Source organism: Homo sapiens, chromosome 10 (assembly GCF_000001405.40).
Source record: "Homo sapiens chromosome 10, GRCh38.p14 Primary Assembly".
NCBI lineage: Eukaryota > Metazoa > Chordata > Mammalia > Primates > Hominidae > Homo > Homo sapiens.
Window position 1 is genome coordinate 20,953,090 of NC_000010.11, and position 17,924 is coordinate 20,971,013.

At 38.7% G+C, this 17,924-nt stretch overlaps 1 protein-coding gene across 12 annotated transcripts in view, besides 3 other annotated features; it reads right to left on the reverse strand.

Annotated features, from left to right (window-relative positions):
• Nucleotides 1–17,924, reverse strand: part of NEBL (nebulette) — a 513,078-nt gene that overhangs the window by 173,117 nt on the left and 322,037 nt on the right. For 10 of the 12 annotated variants that reach the window (NM_001377326.1, NM_001377327.1, NM_001377328.1 and 7 more), the window contains one exon: nt 8,583–8,690. In NM_001377326.1, coding sequence (NP_001364255.1) covers nt 8,583–8,690 — 108 coding nt within the window. Of the gene's footprint in view, nt 1–4,641; nt 4,727–5,756; nt 6,070–8,582; nt 8,691–17,924 lie in introns of those variants that run through there. The other 2 variants (XM_047424443.1, XM_011519291.3) reach the window with 2 other exon arrangements.
• Nucleotides 1,431–1,725: a silencer, noted in NCBI's record as "tiled region #670; K562 Repressive non-DNase unmatched - State 24:Quies". NCBI's record gives its function as "weakly represses a minimal TATA promoter and a strong SV40 promoter by Sharpr-MPRA in K562 cells {active_cell/tissue: K562}" and the evidence as "EXISTENCE:reporter gene assay evidence [ECO:0000049][PMID:27701403]".
• Nucleotides 1,431–1,725: an enhancer, noted in NCBI's record as "tiled region #670; HepG2 Activating non-DNase unmatched - State 10:DNaseD". NCBI's record gives its function as "activates a minimal TATA promoter and a strong SV40 promoter by Sharpr-MPRA in HepG2 cells {active_cell/tissue: HepG2}" and the evidence as "EXISTENCE:reporter gene assay evidence [ECO:0000049][PMID:27701403]".
• Nucleotides 15,580–15,749: an enhancer, noted in NCBI's record as "experimental_11562 CRE fragment used in MPRA reporter constructs". NCBI's record gives its function as "activates a minimal promoter by MPRAs in K562 erythroleukemia cells, with activity observed for both the introgressed and non-introgressed 10:21257683 variant alleles {active_cell/tissue: K562}" and the evidence as "EXISTENCE:reporter gene assay evidence [ECO:0000049][PMID:34662402]".

A 17,924-nucleotide genomic window follows, 5' to 3' on the forward strand; every position in this document is an offset into this window, starting at 1 on the left:
CCATTCAGCCCTGGTATGGACTGAACTGTGTACCACCCCAAAATTCATATGTTGAAGCCCTAACCACCAATGTGACTGTATTTGGAGAGGGTGACTTTAAGGAGGTAATTAAGGTTAAATGAAGTCACAAGGAAGCCCTGATCCAATTGGGTCTGTGTCCTTCTAAGAGGAGGAGACACAGAGATCTCTCTTGCTCTCCCTCTCTCTCTCCACATGCACACACCAACGAAAGGCCACATGAGGACACTGCAAGAAGGCAAGTGTCTGCAAGCCAGGAAGAGAGCCCTCACCAGCCCTACCATACCTTGATCTGGCACTTCCCAGCCTCCAGAACTGTGAGAAAAATTTCTGTCGCTTTACGCTGCCCAACCTGCAATATCTTGTTATGGTGCCTGAGCAGACTAAGACAAGCCCTAATTTTTTTTTTTTTTTTTTTTTTGTAGGCTCTTGGATTAGACACCAAAAAGAATTCCCTATGATATATTAAGATAGGGGAAGTCCTGGCATTTGTAATGTAATTAGAAAATAAATTATCCTGCTTTACTGAGGAAATGTTGCTACAATCCTTTGATAAAACTATAGAAGTCACTGAATATTTAAGGAGCAGAGAGTAAAAGATCGTGTTTATCAAGCAGCACCAAAAAGAAAAGAATCATAAAATTGAAAGCAACTTGAGAAACTAAAAATATCCTTGCAAAGAGGAGTTTCAAGAAAAAGAATGTACAAAATTAGTCAATATTTTACATATTATTACCTCATTCGTTTATTCCACATGCATTTATTGAGTACGTGCTCTGTACTGAGCTCTATTCTAGGCATAACCGATCTTGCATTGAAGGGGTAGACTCATTCCTTGCTCCACTATGGCAGATATTCCAGAAAAGATTTTACTTGCCTAGACTGAAAAGTGGATGGGATGGCAAACTCTTCTTAAGGAAAAAAAAAAAAAAAAAAGAAAGAAAAAACACCCTGGATATAGAGAAAGTAATCCCATAAAATAATCCAGCTATTTACTGAATAGATATTTATTTGATAACTACTTTGTGCTAGACAATGACACAATAGAAAAAAAATCTGGGAGCTTTCAAGAAGAAAATTGATGTGCAATGGATATGTAGACCTTGAAAGAGATTAGAACTCCTAGTAATAATCTTCACTGTAAGATGAAATTCACACAAGGCCAGGAGATTCACTCATCAAAGTAAAAAATAAAAATATTTGTTGACACAAATGGTCGATACATTTGTTTATTAAATATGGCAGTGGGCTAGGCCCTGGGTCTGTATAGAAAAAAAGACACAGCCCATTTCTTCATAGAGTTCAGTCTGAGGGTAGGAAAACTCATAATGCAGCTATAGAAGCTGACTGTCAGAGCAGCTAGGGAAAGATGGTGTTGCAGGACTTTTCCTTAGTTCAGCTAAAGATGGGGTCCTTTGTCCCACGGCAATGAAAATTCAGGCTCGCAGACAATTTGAATGAGTAAGACAGGGTTTTGCTGGGTGAAAGGAAGAAAAGGGGGAAACAGGGACTCCCTGCAAGGCCAGAGTCCCCTGCTAGAGAGCTTCCTGCCTCATAGTTCGAATTCCAGGTTTCACACAGGAAGAGGAGGGGGCCTGGCTCCCCCACCACCACCCCGCCCCCTCTGCAAACAGCACAAACTTCCCAAGGCTCTACCCTAGTGGGCAGGCTGGTTGGAGTTTTTCCGGGGACCCCCTCCCATCTGGCTGTCTCAATGGTAGCCTCTGAGCCAGTGTGGATGGGGAGAGGTATGAAGGGACTTGCAGGCAGAAGTGTGAAATGGATGGGTTCAGATTGCAAGAGGGCCTCCCAGGCTAGAGGTCTCAGCTAGCACTAAGCCAGGGACAGCCTCACATTCCAGGCAAAAGATTTTACATTTTATCCTAAAGGCAGCAGAGAGACTTAACAGATTTTAAAAGAGGATGTGACATGATCAGATGTGCATTTTAGGAAAACCTTGCAAGAAACTGTAAGGAGAATAGCCCAAGTCAAGAGACTATTCCCACACTCCTATCAAGGGGTAGGGAGGGCCCTAAATTAGAGAGGTGACGAGAAATGCAAAGTATAAAGCACCATCTGGTGCATTCTTTCAGATATAAAACATAAATGGAAAGAGACATGGATGATCTTCACCTATGGGAAGTTAAGGAGGTCAGACATATAGACACATAAAATGCTAATTAAAACCAAAGTGGAGAATATGATGTGTGAAATGAGTGGTACAAATGATAGTGTTATAGCACAAAGTCCCACAATAATTCAGAGATGAGACACATCACTGTAGCTGGGTTTGAGTGTGTGTCTGGGATCAGGGGGCTGGGCTGTCATTTACAGATAGTGTGAAATTGTCCTAAACATGCAGAATGACTCATGCAAAAGCCCAGAACAGAGTAAGTAGGCAGGCCTAAAAGAAATCGAAGAACAGAGGTGAAAAGTAGTGAAAGATAAGGTGAAAAATAGTCATTTAGGAGCAGATTGTGGAGGGTCCTTAGAGTCAGAATTAAAGGGTTTAGGAGATTAGACTTTATCCTACTCAAACTGGAGGGCCATGGAAAGTATTTTAGTGGGTCATAATTAGGGTCTTGATGAAAGAGATATTTTAGAACACCTCATCTGGTCATTGTGTTTTAGATGCAATGAAAGGAACAGAAGGAGATAAGGCCAATTAGGAAGTTACTGCAGTAACTCAGGCAAGATAATGGCCTGAACACAGTGAAACTGAAAAGAAAGGAATATGGGAAAAAAGGATTTCATGAAAAAAGGATCTTCACAGATTGTTCACTGAATCCCTCATCTCTTGTTTCAAAAAAAAAAAAAAGTCATATGTGTTAATTCTTTTATTACCGGGGCTCTTCTCAAACCTCCCCTTTAGACAATGCCATTTTACAACCAAAACTCTTGTACTTGACATGCACAAGTAATTACTGGTCTGGGATGTATTTGTTTCTTTAAGTGACTGTGGCTGAAAAATTGAGGCTAAAAAGAAGAGATCAGCCTTTGAAGTTCTGCTCTACATGGAAAAATAAAGCAAAACCAGGTGTAAGGGAAACCACAGATTTGGAAACAAGAAAGGACCAAGAGGTAATTTTCCGTACATTTCTCACATGAAAGTATAAGTAATCCTTATAGAAATACTTTTCCCGAGGAGCGGTTGTTCAGAGGATCTAATTAAACAGGGTATGTCAAAGTGTTTCAAAATAAATGAGGTATTCATACATCTGTTAGGTATTATGAGAAAATATGTGTTATTGCCCTATCACTTTCTCTTTTTTTTAAACTTTGTCTTTAAAGATAATGCTACTGACCCCACTATTTACTGGGAATTCATCAGTTATTGGTTGAGATGAGCTACAGATAAGGTCTAGTCCACTAAAGCAACATATAGATTCACTCTGTAAAAATACTAGCCTTCAAGAGCTTAAATCTAAACCACTGACCTCATAACTAATCGTCTATGTTAATCAACCCACTTATGACTTACAATAAAAATAACATTCATTCTCCCTTCAAACTGCTTAGTGTACTAGATTTTACTACTCAAAATCAGAAGCTTTTACATAAATGTTTCATTAGTTATAAAACTTCTGCTTTTTGTATAAAGAACAAAATTAACAAATAATGTATTTCAATGAATGACTTTATAATTTTTACCTTTCTCATATTTAAAAAAAAAAGTTTGCTAAATATAAAAAGAAAAAAATCTCCTTCAGTGTCTGTTGTTCAGATTCATGTAAGACCTAATTGCCTCATACACGATAATTTTGCCACCAGTTTACAATTAGCATGTATTGCTCATGCATGAGTTGACCCAATTACATAACAAATTTCGCCTTTGGGGATTTCTCTTGACTGCTTGTCTTCTGTCCACCATACAACTCAATTTCACACTGTCAGCAGCCTGAACATGGTTACAGTCAGTCTCTGTCAAAATGATTTATTTAAATTACAAACAGAGACCAAATCCCTAGATAATTGTCCCTACCCTCATGTTCACCCTTGCACTCAACCGAACTTTGAATCAAATCTTTTAATAGCCCATAGACACTACTATTCAATTATTAGGCAATGTTTAGTCCCAATAATCTAATATTGTTGAAGCTAACTCACAAAATCTCAGGGAACTAAATCAGCAGTATCCGTGTGAGCTTATTAATGGGCATATAATTTATTTTACATTCTAAGAAGTCAGTGAAAAATTATGTAGTGTAGCAAAAGAGCTAAAAATAATTATATTACAAGATCAAATTATAGAGAGATTACTTTTTGGTATACTTTTTTAAAAGTGTCACTCTTAGCTTTTCTTGTAAAGTAGGCAAGCAATTCTTATAAATGGGTATGCGAAATTGAAAGTGGTAGCAAAAAAGGATATTTGGGAAAGCGGACAGATAATTAAAATTGTGAACATTGACAAGGTAAGGGAAATAATATAGGGCAGGTGAAACACTAATGTCTATAGACATTAGTCTATACTGATCTAGGAAAATGGGGTTTTAGACACTCTCATTGAAGTCAACACACAGAGGTACATACACAGATATACGCACACACAGACAAGCAAAACTATTTTCTCCATTTGTCAAGAACACGCAGAAATCCTGACAAATCAAATAATGGTACACTCACCATTTCAGTCAGTCTTTAAAACACACAATTTTGTCATCTGGTCGATTTTTGTTTCTTTCCCCTTCATTTGATATTTCTCTTCCCCCTGAAATAAATTAGAAAATAAACATCCAGTTTTCATCTATGGCACAAAGTCTGTAAAAGTCTCTTGGGGTTTGACTTCACCATTTTATTTCACAATTTATCCCCAGACTGTCTCAGCTAATTGAAAGTGCAGCTGATATTAGTGGGTAAACAGCCAGAATGAAACATCAGTAATTTTCCCAAGGCTAGCCTGAGTCCCTTGAATGTCTGGCGATGGTTGTGCTTTGAGATCCTGCTGCAGGTACCCTGAATGCATTGCTTGTAAACTTGAAGGTGGGAACCACCTGAAATTAGAAAGAGCCTTTACAGTTACCCACATGAGCTAGCCCAGTAGCAGCCACAGAAAAGGGTGTTTCATTTTTTTTAATGCCCTTGGGCACAGTATTCCTCAATTCATATTTGGACACTGTCCCTTAAGAATATTTTCCTAAAATATTGGTAAATAAAGAAAATGTGATGTACAAAGATATTTCTGCCATTTCTGAATTTATGCCCTAGAGTTTGGGGGCAAGGAGAGGGTGGATGGCAATTAAGCGACACAGTTGTGAAAATCCGTAAGGCAGGGCTTTCTGGCCCACAGTTCCTAAGTCAGTGCTGAACACATTGGCTGTCAGGTTTCATTCTACTGAAGAGATACAGTTTCAACAAAACCTGGACTTCTGAACATTATCTTCAATTAAACGATTTGGCTCGATTTCCTGACTTCCTATAAAAACTGTTCCCAAGCCTAACATTCAATTTCATAAGCAACCAAACCCCATCTGAATATTAATATATTCAATGAGATGAAGACATCTTCTGGAATTTCATGGGGAAAAAAATAATTTTGCTTTATTTTAGAAGCCAAGTTCTTTTTCTTCCCAGCCATTTAGTCAATTCTGAAATACTGCCTCTTTTCTTGTTTTGTTCTGTGGCTACACTAAGTGGGTAACATAGCAGAAGAATTATAAATTGCAGTATTTAACAAATCTCCCATGTTCAATATGTTGTCATTACAGCTACCCAGAAAAGGCAAGTTCACCCACTCTCACCTCGTTCATCACACTCAATTTGAAATTTACGGTTGTATTTTATCCCACACCTCAGTAACATGCAGACTGAGTGGTCATTTCCAAATGATTTCAAATCCTCAATAAACAAACATGAGAAGAGCTGAAAAAATTTCAAAACATTGACATAGACATAAGCAATCAAAAATTCCCATTCATCCGTAACATATTACCCAAAACACTTAGGAGTTGTCATTAAATTCACTGCTTTATGTCTTTATACAAGAGAGATTAAAGGCAGCTAAGAAAGAGCCACACAATATTCAGAGATAAACTAGAAACAAATAGGAGAAAATGAAACACAGGGAAACATAAAGACAGCAAAGACTGCCGATCTTAGTTAACCTACCTATATTAACCTATATTAAACTTGGCACTCAAATGCAAGACTCACAAATTTCATACCCCTAATAATTTTCAGGATCTATAATTTTCAGGATTATAATTTCCCAGCATCTCTAGCCGGAAGATTCTGGGGTCTTTCCAGTCTAGACACTTTCTCACCTGTTTCCTCTCATAACAGACACAATCCAGCCACTGTCAAAAAATATCTGTTTGGGTTTTAGCCAATACTGTTCAGTGGGTTTAGATTAAAGTAATATGGAAAACTGGACTTGCCAAAGTACTACTTTTTGGATCAACCCAAGTTTCTTATAGAAAAAGATCCTTGAGTAATATGGAAAACCTAGTGAGGTAAGGGAAAAAGTTCATGAAGTTGCAGTCTTATAAATGAATAATAAATTCACCAGACCTCAGAGCACTTAACAGCCTCCCTTCTTTAAGAGTTGTTCCCTAATGGTAATATTATGAAGTCTATATTTTTTACAGCTATCCAAACATTTAATATGCCTCATATTGGCTAAGAGAACTACTTATAAGACTGCTACGGCTGCTAACATTAAGACATCGCAAAAAGTTTTTTTTTTAAAAAAAGATGTTGTCTAAGTTACATGCTTTTAAAAATCAGAGTTGTCTAAATAATAGGCTTAATCTAAATGGTGCTTTTTATACTGCTGTCTATATAACATATTATATATGATAAATATAGATTAATACATACCTGTGTGATAAGGGTATTTTGCATAATTAAGAATGGATCTGCAAACCACCTCTGGTATTGAATAAAATGTATATTCCTGCTAATGATAAAGGTTGGTAAAATGATCAGTATTTTTTAATTAAACATGAATATTGACTAAATTTGAATAAAAATTAAAAGGCTTACCTTTGATCAGCTTCAATCCTTATGTTAGCTGTCACATGGATGTCTTAGGTAGAAATGTTTAGTTCTTTTTGAAATAAAATTCAGTGATTGTTGAAGATGTATAATATAACTGTTTTTGGCAGAATTATTTTTTAGATAAACATTTGCCAAAAATAATCCAAAGAAAGAACTGTTATTAAATGTAACTGCCAGTGTAATAGATCATTGATTTGCATTCTTAAAAGCAAAAATAGGTTTTTGGTTTAAGGAAAGAATAAAGAGGAAGAAAAATAAGGCAGTGATCTTCAGTATTCATGACTGATGGATTGCTGGGATGGGGTAGAAAAACTAAGAGACAAATGTCATGAAGTCTTAAAATTCAACTCTTTTTCTTCAAAGGAAATCCCTACTAATATAAAATGTCCATTTAAAGAGCAAAAAACAATGTGTACTTTGCATCCTCCCACTTCCTAATAAATTGTTTAACATGAAATAATTCTGTTTTTGAACTTTAGACATATAAAAAGTATTTTTCTCAAATTATACATAATTCTATCTGCAAATTTTATATGTGTGTATATGTGTGTATATATACACATATTTATATATAAATGCATATATAATATATACACATGTATTTTATACACACACACACATATATACATGTATACATACATCTCATGATGATGACCAAATATCAGTGAGTTTAAAACCACCTGCTAATTAAACATGTCCTGGAAATTAAGGCTACATCAGTTATAACACCTAGATATACAAATTTTAGTGACTTTATAAGTGACGCACAAAATACAGTTCTCGTGAAAAATGGTATGAGTGTTGCCTGTTTGCTCATACTTTTATGTCACTCACACATCTGTTAATTTTCATCCATATTTCTTCTTGGATATCTAACATTGAATTAATTTTTGTGAAGAAAAATACATCCTGACACACTTCATGTAATATTTTGGAAGAAACATAATCACAGGTGTGAATTACCAAAACTTAGAAGAGCTGTTTATCCACCTTTAATAAGTACTGAATTAATACCTCCCTAATACATTTTGAACTTCTCCTAGTCTCCATTTTCTCTTTTGAGGAAACTATATTAATAAACAAGGCACAGCTTCAAGTCCAAAGCAACTACATATATAAATGTTTATTTCAAAAGTAAGATGTAATACCTGATTTCAACAAATATCTAATTCAAAATATGAAATCTTATAGACACCTAGTCGGCAAATAGGAGATCTTAAGACTCCTAACCTTATATGTATATTTTATATGCTTATCCACAGTCAAAACTTAACTTTCAAGTTTCTTATTTTAATTATAAAAGGCCTATTTTGGAAAAATTTGAAAGCTGAGAACCATTCAAAATGGAATAAGGAGATCTTCTATTAGGTAACTAAGCACCGGGTCCTAGATAACTGTGATGGAACCAGAGGGCAGGGTTTACCAGATGAAATTGGCATAGTCTATGCGTGCACTGAGTACTGCTTGCACCCCACAGCAACACAAACACTTCCAAGTCATCCAGCCTCCCTTTCTCATCCAGAAATGCACATCAGAGCCATCATGCTATTGAATAAACAGGCACCTACATTACTGATTTGCTCCTGAGTCCTCTTCAGTCTCTGTAGCTCAGGAGTGTCCGTGACGATGCTGAAGCCCCTCCCTTTGCTTTCTTCAAAATCTCTTTTGTACTTGACCTAACAAGAAGGGGGAAAAGAAAAGTGAACAGAGGGATCACGAATCCCACTCGGGATAGGCTGGGCCAACGAAGCTGCTGGAATTGGAAACAATGGCTAAAAACACAGATCTCAGCCGGAGGTGCAGTTAAGAACCAGAAGGAAACAGCCAGGCTACCTGGTTTGTGTCACAGAAACTCCACTTACCATTTGTGTGACTTTAAGCAAGTTCTTTAACCACTCTGTGCTCAGTGGTGTCATCTGTACAGCGGCAATAACAAACAACAATGGCTATTTAAGAGGTTGTAGGGATGGGATCAGACTACTTGATGCATGAATCTGGCTGACAGAAACAAGTAAGTACTCCATAATAGTTATTATGATTATCACCATTAATACCATTACTACTGTGAAAGGAAAGAAAATGTAGAAAAAGAAAGCTAAATCTTCTTCTCCTCCTGTGCCCGCCTGTCAGTGAAAAAGCCTCATTTTGAGCCTAAACTGCCCTATGGAGGAGGGAGATGAAGAATTGACAGCTAGCCCTGTCCAAGAAGTTTTTATTCAACTTCAGAAGGCCAACATATGGATACAATTACACAATGCTGTATTGCCAAATGGCAAGTACATAAATGCTTATGAAAATATTTATAAAATAGGCCACACCTAGAGATTAAAAAGCTGCTCACACATGCCCTTGGCATACTGTGTGCTGAAGTAGCGAAGATTTTTTTCAGTATTTAAATATACTTCTTTTCTAATTACAACCCAATGGAGCTGAATTTTACTGTTTCCTCGGAGGACTGGAACAGCTAATGCTTCATCTTACAGAACCCCATCTCCTGTTATTAGCATAATGACAATAACTGTCACACCAGTTAAAGATTTGGCTTGTTAATGACTGAGATGGTTACATCACTTTGTTCTTTTTTTAAGCCTAAATATCAAGAAATTTGGAAACATATTTTGATAATCCATAGAATCCCCATTTTACATTCAAAATTACAAGCTTCCAATCAACACTTACATTGATCATTAAAATTAATTAAGTTAATTTAGGGTTGCCTATTCAATATGATTGTTAGTGTAGTGTAGTCTTCTGCAGAAGGTAGAAAAGTTCACTTCGTTGAACATGGAATGGCTGTTTCTGTTGAATCATGTCTGTATTTAAATACCCAATTCTATCAAGCATTATTATCCTCAAGGATACGACAAGATTTTCTTTTACCAGACAAGCTTGAAAGAAAAACACACACACACACACACACACACACACACACACACACACACACGGAAATCTAGATACTCTCATCGCTTTTAGCTTAAGAATACCTAATTCTTCTCTCTGTACTTTCGATTTGTAAAAGCACTAAACCCCTTACTTTATTCCCATAAGTAAAAGGTCAAATAAACTGCAATATTTTTCTTCCACATAAAATGCTGAGAGATTAGCCTTCTCACCCTCCATCTCCCAGCATGGGTAAAGATCCACATGCTGGCACATTCTCAGCGTTTAATGCCTAACTAAGCAGGCAAGCTATTTAGTTTTGCTGGTAGTAAGCACTGGAGCTCAGAGTAGTAAAATAATAAAAGTTAAAAGGATGACAAGGTTGGAATAGCAACAGGCATGAAGACATAGGAAGAAATGCCTGTGAGACAAGTTCTAGCATTCCTAACACCAGTCTCAGAGAAGGCACAATCACATATTATTTTTGTTACTCGTCTGTATTTTTTAATAGCAATTTCCAAAGACAGAGGTGAAAAGAAAAACCAATAAATTCTAGAATCATAGGTATTTTTGGTTTTTTCTTTTTGTTTTGGTAGTGATGGGTTCTCACTATGTTACCTAGGATGGTCTTGAACTCCTGGCCTCAAGTGATCCTCCTACCTTAGCCTCCCAAAGTGCTGGGATTGCAGGTATCAGCCACCACCACACCCAGCCTAGAATCACAGGTTTTGAGCTGACTACTGTTCAACAATCCTTTCCACATTCACAAGACACAAAAGAATCATCTGACTTTGGCTTGCTGGTTGTGTGACTAACTTTGAGAAGTGTACAATCACCTCTAAAAATGGCTTGCAGAGTGTTGCAGGATTCCTATTTCTTTTGAATGGTGTGAAACACAGCCAAGCCTCTTACCCTCTCAGCACCAGTTCAAGCACCAGCCCACCAGTATTTCTTTACTACACATAGGGAAACTCCGAGCCATTCATCAGCTCTCTCTTTTCCACACTCCCACCCACTTTCATCCTATTTACTTAGGTCTAATTTTAAATGTGGTATCAGATGGTTTGTCAGTCATGTGTAGTCTGATTCTAGGAGGCAAGTGGATATAAAAAGAGAACAGAGGACAGAGGGAAATAGCAGGATGTCTCTCTCCAATCTCATGTGGCCCCTTTGCCCTCACATGACCTCATCCAGCCAAAAAGGACACCACATCCACAAGACCCTGTGATAGATCTCGGGAGGGCCACATAATCTAGCAAGCATCCAGAAGCCTCAGCTCTGGGACTCTGGCAGGAATTCTTGGGAAAGGGGTTGTGTCATTTATTTGTGCTGCTATAAAGGAATACCTGACACTGGGTAATTTACAAAGAAAAGAGGTTTATTTGGCTTATGGTTCTGTAAGCTGTACAGGAAGCATGGTGCCAGCATCTGCTTCTGGTCAGAGCCTCAAGAAGCTTCCAATCATGATGGAAGGTGAAGGGGAGCCAGCGTGTCACATGGCAAGACAGGGAGCAAGGGCAGGGGAATGTGCCAGGCTCTTTAAACCAGCTCTCACGTGAACTCATTGTTGTGGGGAGGGCAAAAAGCCATTCATGAGGGATCCGCCCCCATGATCCAAACACCTCCCATTAGTGCATACCTTCAATGCTCAGGATCACATTTCAACATGAGATTTGAGGGGGACAAACATCCAAACCATATCAGGGGTGCTCTTTTGCTATGGTCTGGCTAGTTTAACTGGCTGTAAAAGTGGAGTTGCTGACTACCATGTGGCCACTGTCCAATAATGAAGTCAACACAGAGGCAAGCAAAAGAGTGATTGAGAGAGAGTCCTGACATCACCATCTGAGCACCTGAATTTAACTCTTCCAAAAGCCAGAAATACCAGGTTTGCCCGTTACGTGAGCTAATCTCTTCCTTTTACAATCAAAAGAATTCTGATGAACATAACCAGCCCCCGTGTCCATGTGTTGTACACACGTATGACAAGGCTCCCAGTAAATACAAACATGTAAATTTCTCATTGACTTCTATGCCCTGATTCTTCCTATGTATGTTACAAGATGTAATAGTTTAGATCAACAGCAGATTCTATCAAGGAAAGAGCATTGCTTTCATGGACAATCCTTTGCTCATTCAGCAAATCTTTACTGAGCACCTACTATGGGCCAAGAGCTGTTCCAGGTATAGAAATGATGTGACAAAGAGAAGTCAATGGTCCCTGCCTTCATGGGGCTTATGTTAATTACAATGCAAGAGATGAAAAACACACAAGATCTATGTAGGTCATAAATGGTATGTTAGTGGGAAGCGCTAAGAGAGAAAAATAGCGAGACAAGGGGACGTGAAGTGTCAGGCAGTCTGCCCTTCTAGACAGGGTGGTCAGGGAAGTCCCCAGTAAGAAGGTGACATTTCAGTAAGGCCTCAAAGAGGGAGGAAGAAAGCCACACAGACTTCTTCCAGGAGAGCTATGCAGGCAGAGGGAACAGACAGAGCAAAGCCCTAAAACCCTTTAGAAAGGTCAAGGAAGGCCGCTCTGTCTGGAGCAACCTTAGTGGGAGGGAAGAGGAAGAGGACTGCAGAGAGTGGTCACACGGGGCTTTGCACGCCCTGAGGATGTTGGCTTTTCTTCCCTGTGGGTCATGGGGCCCGTGGAGGTTTGTATGCGGAACAGCGGTATGCCCTGACTTGTGTTTTAAAAGGCTTTCTCTGGCTGCTATCCTGCAAACTCCTTGGAAGTGTGCAGGACAGACGCGAGAAGCCCAGGTAGAGTCAGGCAATATCCAGCCACCTCCCCCAGTCAGCCACTGTCAGAGAACTGTCCCAGGACCACAGAAGAAAGCAAAAGTTCTTGGGCCCAGCCTCAGGGCCCTGGCGTCCCCGAAAGACCCCACCAGGCATGTTACACACTGTTGTCAGAACGGAGCAGGAAGGACAAAGAGGAGAGAGGACAGAATTAAGTTACCAACCTGAGCTCAGAAAGAGAATGTGCCATACCTGGGAAGTAACACAGTCTTATCTCCCTACAGTCTTATCCCTTCAAGACTGAAGAAAGGCACTTTGAAAACGCATTCAAAGTCAAATGTGAGAAATTCATGTAATAGGCAACTTGCTTTGCCATATTTGCCTTCAGAAGTAACTTCAAAATGTCTTATGTCAAATATTGAATACTATATATTATGGAAATTCTATATATGTCATATGTGTTGACATTCTACGTGTCTGTGTGTATATGTTGCATGTATGCACAGAAACATGATATGCATGTGTACATATATAACTTCCTGCAACATAGATTAGAACGCTAAAGCAAGAATCAAGAAACCTGAATTTAAACCGATTCTTTTCTGTGATCTTAATTTGTTCTATTTATCTAACACTCCTGATCCTCAGAAAATAAAACAAGAAAATATGCAATATGCTACACATTAAATGAATGTTTGCAAGGTGAAAATAAATAACATGTGAAAATACCAAGCAAGGATATGACCCTTCAGCAAATATTAGTTTCATTCTTTTCACTAAATTTTAAAAACGGCCTTTGCTGCTGAAGTATGTGCATTTCTGCCAAAGTGTGCACCCTTAGTGACAGTTTGTGTTTGAAGTCATCAGCAATTAGCTCTCCCAAGTTCATGCAGGGTGACAGCCTGGACACCGGAGCAGTTCTGGACCAGCTTAAGGAAAAGGCTCACAGTGACTAAAAAGGAAGACTTCTGAAAAACAAAATAACAGGCAGAGTGGCAAATGGAATTATTTACTAATGCTGAGATAAAAGTTCTCTTCCCCAAATGCTGCAAACAGCGCAATTATTACTATTATAAAACATCAGTAAATGGAGACAATGGAATCCACTAAAGAGAAAGGCCACTGTTAGGCAGAAAGCCATCGCGGATGAAGGAAGAAGGAAGCCAACTGGGACCAGAGACTGGTAAATTGTTGAATGACAATTAAATAACACTAATTGGAGATTATGTAGGTCATAAATGGTATGTTTATGACCATACCATTCACGTTAAAGGAGATTCACGTTAAAGGAGAGTTCACGTTAAAAGGAGATTAAATAACACTTGGCAATGAATTCAAGGATGGGCACATCCTACAGCTCACCAGCTCTACACCAGATCATGCTTCTCTCCAAAGAGAGAGCATCTGGAGACCTGGACCAACATGTTCTTAATAACGTTGTTTCTATTTTCAAAGAAAAAAAAAAATAGGAAACAACCTAAATATCCATCCACATGAGAATGAATAAATCCAATGTAATATTATTTAAGAGTTAAAATAAGTGAATCATGGATCTATGTGGATGAGTCTCAGAAACATTACGCTGAGGGGAGGAAAAAGCAAGAAATGTAGACACAGGGCTGGGCATGGTGGCTCACGCCTGTGATCCCAGCACTTTGGGAGGCCGGGGCAGGTGGATCACTTGAGGTCAGGAGTTTGAGACCAGCCTGGCCAACATGGCCAAACCCTAGCTGTACTCAAAATACAAAAATTAGCCGGGTGTGATGGTACACCCCTGTAGTCCCAGCTACTCGGGAGGCTGAGGCAGGAGAATCACTTGAACCTGGGAGGCGGAGGTTGCAGTGAGCTGATATCACACTGCTGCACTCCAGCCTGGGTGACAGAGCGAGACTCCATCTCAAAAAAAAAAAAACAAGTGCATACTGGTGAATGTATGGTGGGAGGGGGCTTGATAACAACTTTCAGGGGAGTGGTGACAAGACCTGCTGGTGAAAAAATGTACAGGGAGCTTCCCTGTTACTGGTGATGTTCTAGTTCTTACATTTGATGGCGAATTCACACGTTATCTTTTTACTATCACCCTACAAAACTTGCATGTACACATTATATATAATCTTTTGTGTTGATCAACTATCTCACGATAAGAATATTTTCAAAGAAAGCAGGGACGCAGTTTTAAAAGTCCTGATGCAGAAACTGAGGAACCCAGAGATTAGACAAAAAACATGAGTGGGAGAAGAGAAAATGAGTATTATAACCAGTAATTCAGTTGATATTTTCAGTCAGCCAAAGACTTGGGTTTTTTCGTAAATGGCAGGTGAGCTAGTCAATGGGTATCCACCATCTGCAGAAAGTTAAATCGGCCACTCTGAGTTTCTTCATCTTAGTGAGGCTGTTTACACCAGCAAACACAGACTTGAAGCAAGAAGGTAGGAAAAATTGCATTGAGAGAGTGTAAAAGGGTGGTGTTAAAGGGATTCCAAATATGGATTAGGGCCAGGCACCGTGGCTCCTGCCTGCAATTGCAGGACTTTGGGAGGCTGAGGCAGGAAGATTGCTTGAGGCGTGGAGTTTGAGACTAGCCTAGGCAACATAGCAAGGCCCCATCTCTTAAAAAAAAAAAAAAATTAAAATCAGCCAGGCATGGTGGTACATACCCATAGTCCCAGCTACTAGGGAAGCTGAGACAGGAGGAATACCTCAGCCCAGAAGTTCAAGGCTGCAGTGAGCTATGTTCACACCATTGCACTCCAGCCTGGGCAACAGAGCAAGACCCCATCTCTAAAATAATTAAATACATACATAAATATGGAGGAGGGAGGAATCATAGAAGTTCAAGGGGATGCGTCGCATGTATCACGATAGACAAGTGCAGTGAGAACTATGCAAGGACGGAAGGTATATATAGGAGGAGAACAGTATTTGCTTTAATGCAGCTTGTCAGAATATGTTTAACAGAAGCCTAAAATCTCAGGCACATGTATTACTGATTCGCATTATTCTGTTCTTTATTTCATACATTTCTGATACAATGAAATCCATGACTAATTTCATTACCTTTCACGACATGATAGATACTCCACATTTCTTTAAAGGGAGATGGTGAGGGTCGCAATATTTTAAAACTACATGCAAAATTCTTAATTTGATCTGCAAAATTTAGTGCTCAATTATGTATAGTTCTTGTATAGTTCATCATCATCTTATATCTTTCCACAGATTTTAAGGTACTAGAAAATGTAGACCACATGCTTCTTTCTCTCTCACTGCACTTTGTTTGGTGCTAAGCAGGTGCTAAGCATAGATTAAAAGCTTAATAACCATTTCATGATTGATTACTATCTAGTTTTGTACGTTTAAGGTCTAAAATGCAGAAAATTGATTAATCTCACAATGTTAGACGGGAATTAAACAGTCGAAAGGAAAATCTGATTAAGAGTTTTTTTTAAGGTGAAGTTAATTTTAGCAAATGTTAAGTCAAAGGAATGAGCTCAAAAGTAAATTTGCTTTTTTATAAATTAATCTCATAATTTGTAAATCTATGGTTAATTAAATAAAATTAAAATTATAATTACCTTTTTAAACATAATTAAAAAGCATTAAAAATCATGTCCATAGATTTCTAAGCTTTCAATTAAACTTCCACTGCATTCCCAGAGGCTCTTAGTGATATTTACTGTTTTGTCAGTTTTCCATGTATATTCACAATCCAACTTTACCAGATTTGGGGTTCTTTTACTTAAAAAAAAAAAAATGAAATTTTTTTTATTCTAAACAAAAATGCTAAATACATTAAAAATGACTTTTTTTCTTTTCTTTTTTTTTTTTTTTTTTTGAGACAGAGTCTCTCTCTGTCACCCAGGTTGGAGTGCAGTGGCACAATCTTGATTCACTGCAACCACTGCCTCCCAGATTCAAGCAATTCTTGTGCCTCAGCCTCCTCAGTAGCTGGGATTACAGGCGTACACCACCACACTGAGCTAATTTTTGAATTTTTAGTAGAGACAGGGTTTTGCCATGTTGCCAGGCTGGTCTCAAACTCCTGACCTCAAGTGATCTGTCCTCCTTGGCTTCCCAAAGTGCTGAGATTCCAGGTGTGAGCCACCGTGCCTGGCCCCAAAAAGCACCTTTCAATTTCTCAATCAGTTAAGATAATTAAAAATTACCCCTAAGACACTCAAGTGTAGCTTAGTGTTTAAAAATATAGCCTCAGAAATTACACAAACTTGTCTTGGGCCCTGACTCCACCATATTAGCTGTGTGACCTTAGGCAAGTTACTTAGTATCTCTGAGATTCAGTTTCCTCATATACAAAATATGCGTAATTTTAGTACAATATTGAGAGCACTTTTGTGAGAATTAAATGAGATAATACTACTGCCTGACATCTAGTAAGTGGCTCCTGTGTTCCAAGCATAGTAATGAGTGTTTTACATTATTGTGTGAGCAGAGCGAGGATGGGAAGCCCAGCGGATAAGCTGTAAGATGTGCTCAGCACTCCTTACTGTACACACATGTTGACTCACTCACTCATCATAACTCAACATCCTGCCCCATGGCCAGGGACTGTGCAATCTGCATTTAGGAGCTCCTTCAGTCCTTTTTGGATCAAAAAAAGAATACAAATAGGCTGGGCACAGTGGCTCACATCTGTAATCCCAGCACTTTGGGAGGCCAAGGCAAGAGGATCACTTGAGCCCAGGAGTTCAAGACCAGCCTGGGCAACACAGTGAGACCTTGTCTCTGCTCCCCCCACCAAAAAAAAAAATTAGCTGGACATGGTGGCACATGCCTGTGGTCCCAGCTACTCAGGAGGCCTCTGAGGTGTGAGGATTGCTTGAGCCTGTGAGGTGAAGGCTGCAGTGAGCTGTGATCATGCCACTGCACTCCAGCCTGGAAAACAGAGCGAGACCTCATCTTAAAAAAAAAAAATTAATAGAATATAAATAAATAAAGGCAACAATAATTACAAGGTACATATATCATCTTCAGATAAATCTTAGCAGGTATGCACGTTAAGGTCCATTTCACAGATGAAGGAAGTTTGCAGAAGTCATGGAGCTGATGGAAGGCGGAAGTCTCTCTGACATCCACCTGCCCAGCATCTCCCCAGATGTTATCTTTCAATTTATCTGACAAGGAAAAAAATGCCAAAGCGAAAAATATCAAAGTGAACACAAGTAAGACATAAACAACATTCTGTAAATAAGCAGAAGTGAAAGTGGAACCAATTGAATATTTCTTAGTATAGGATGCCAAAAGATTTGCATAACCTAAAATTAGTT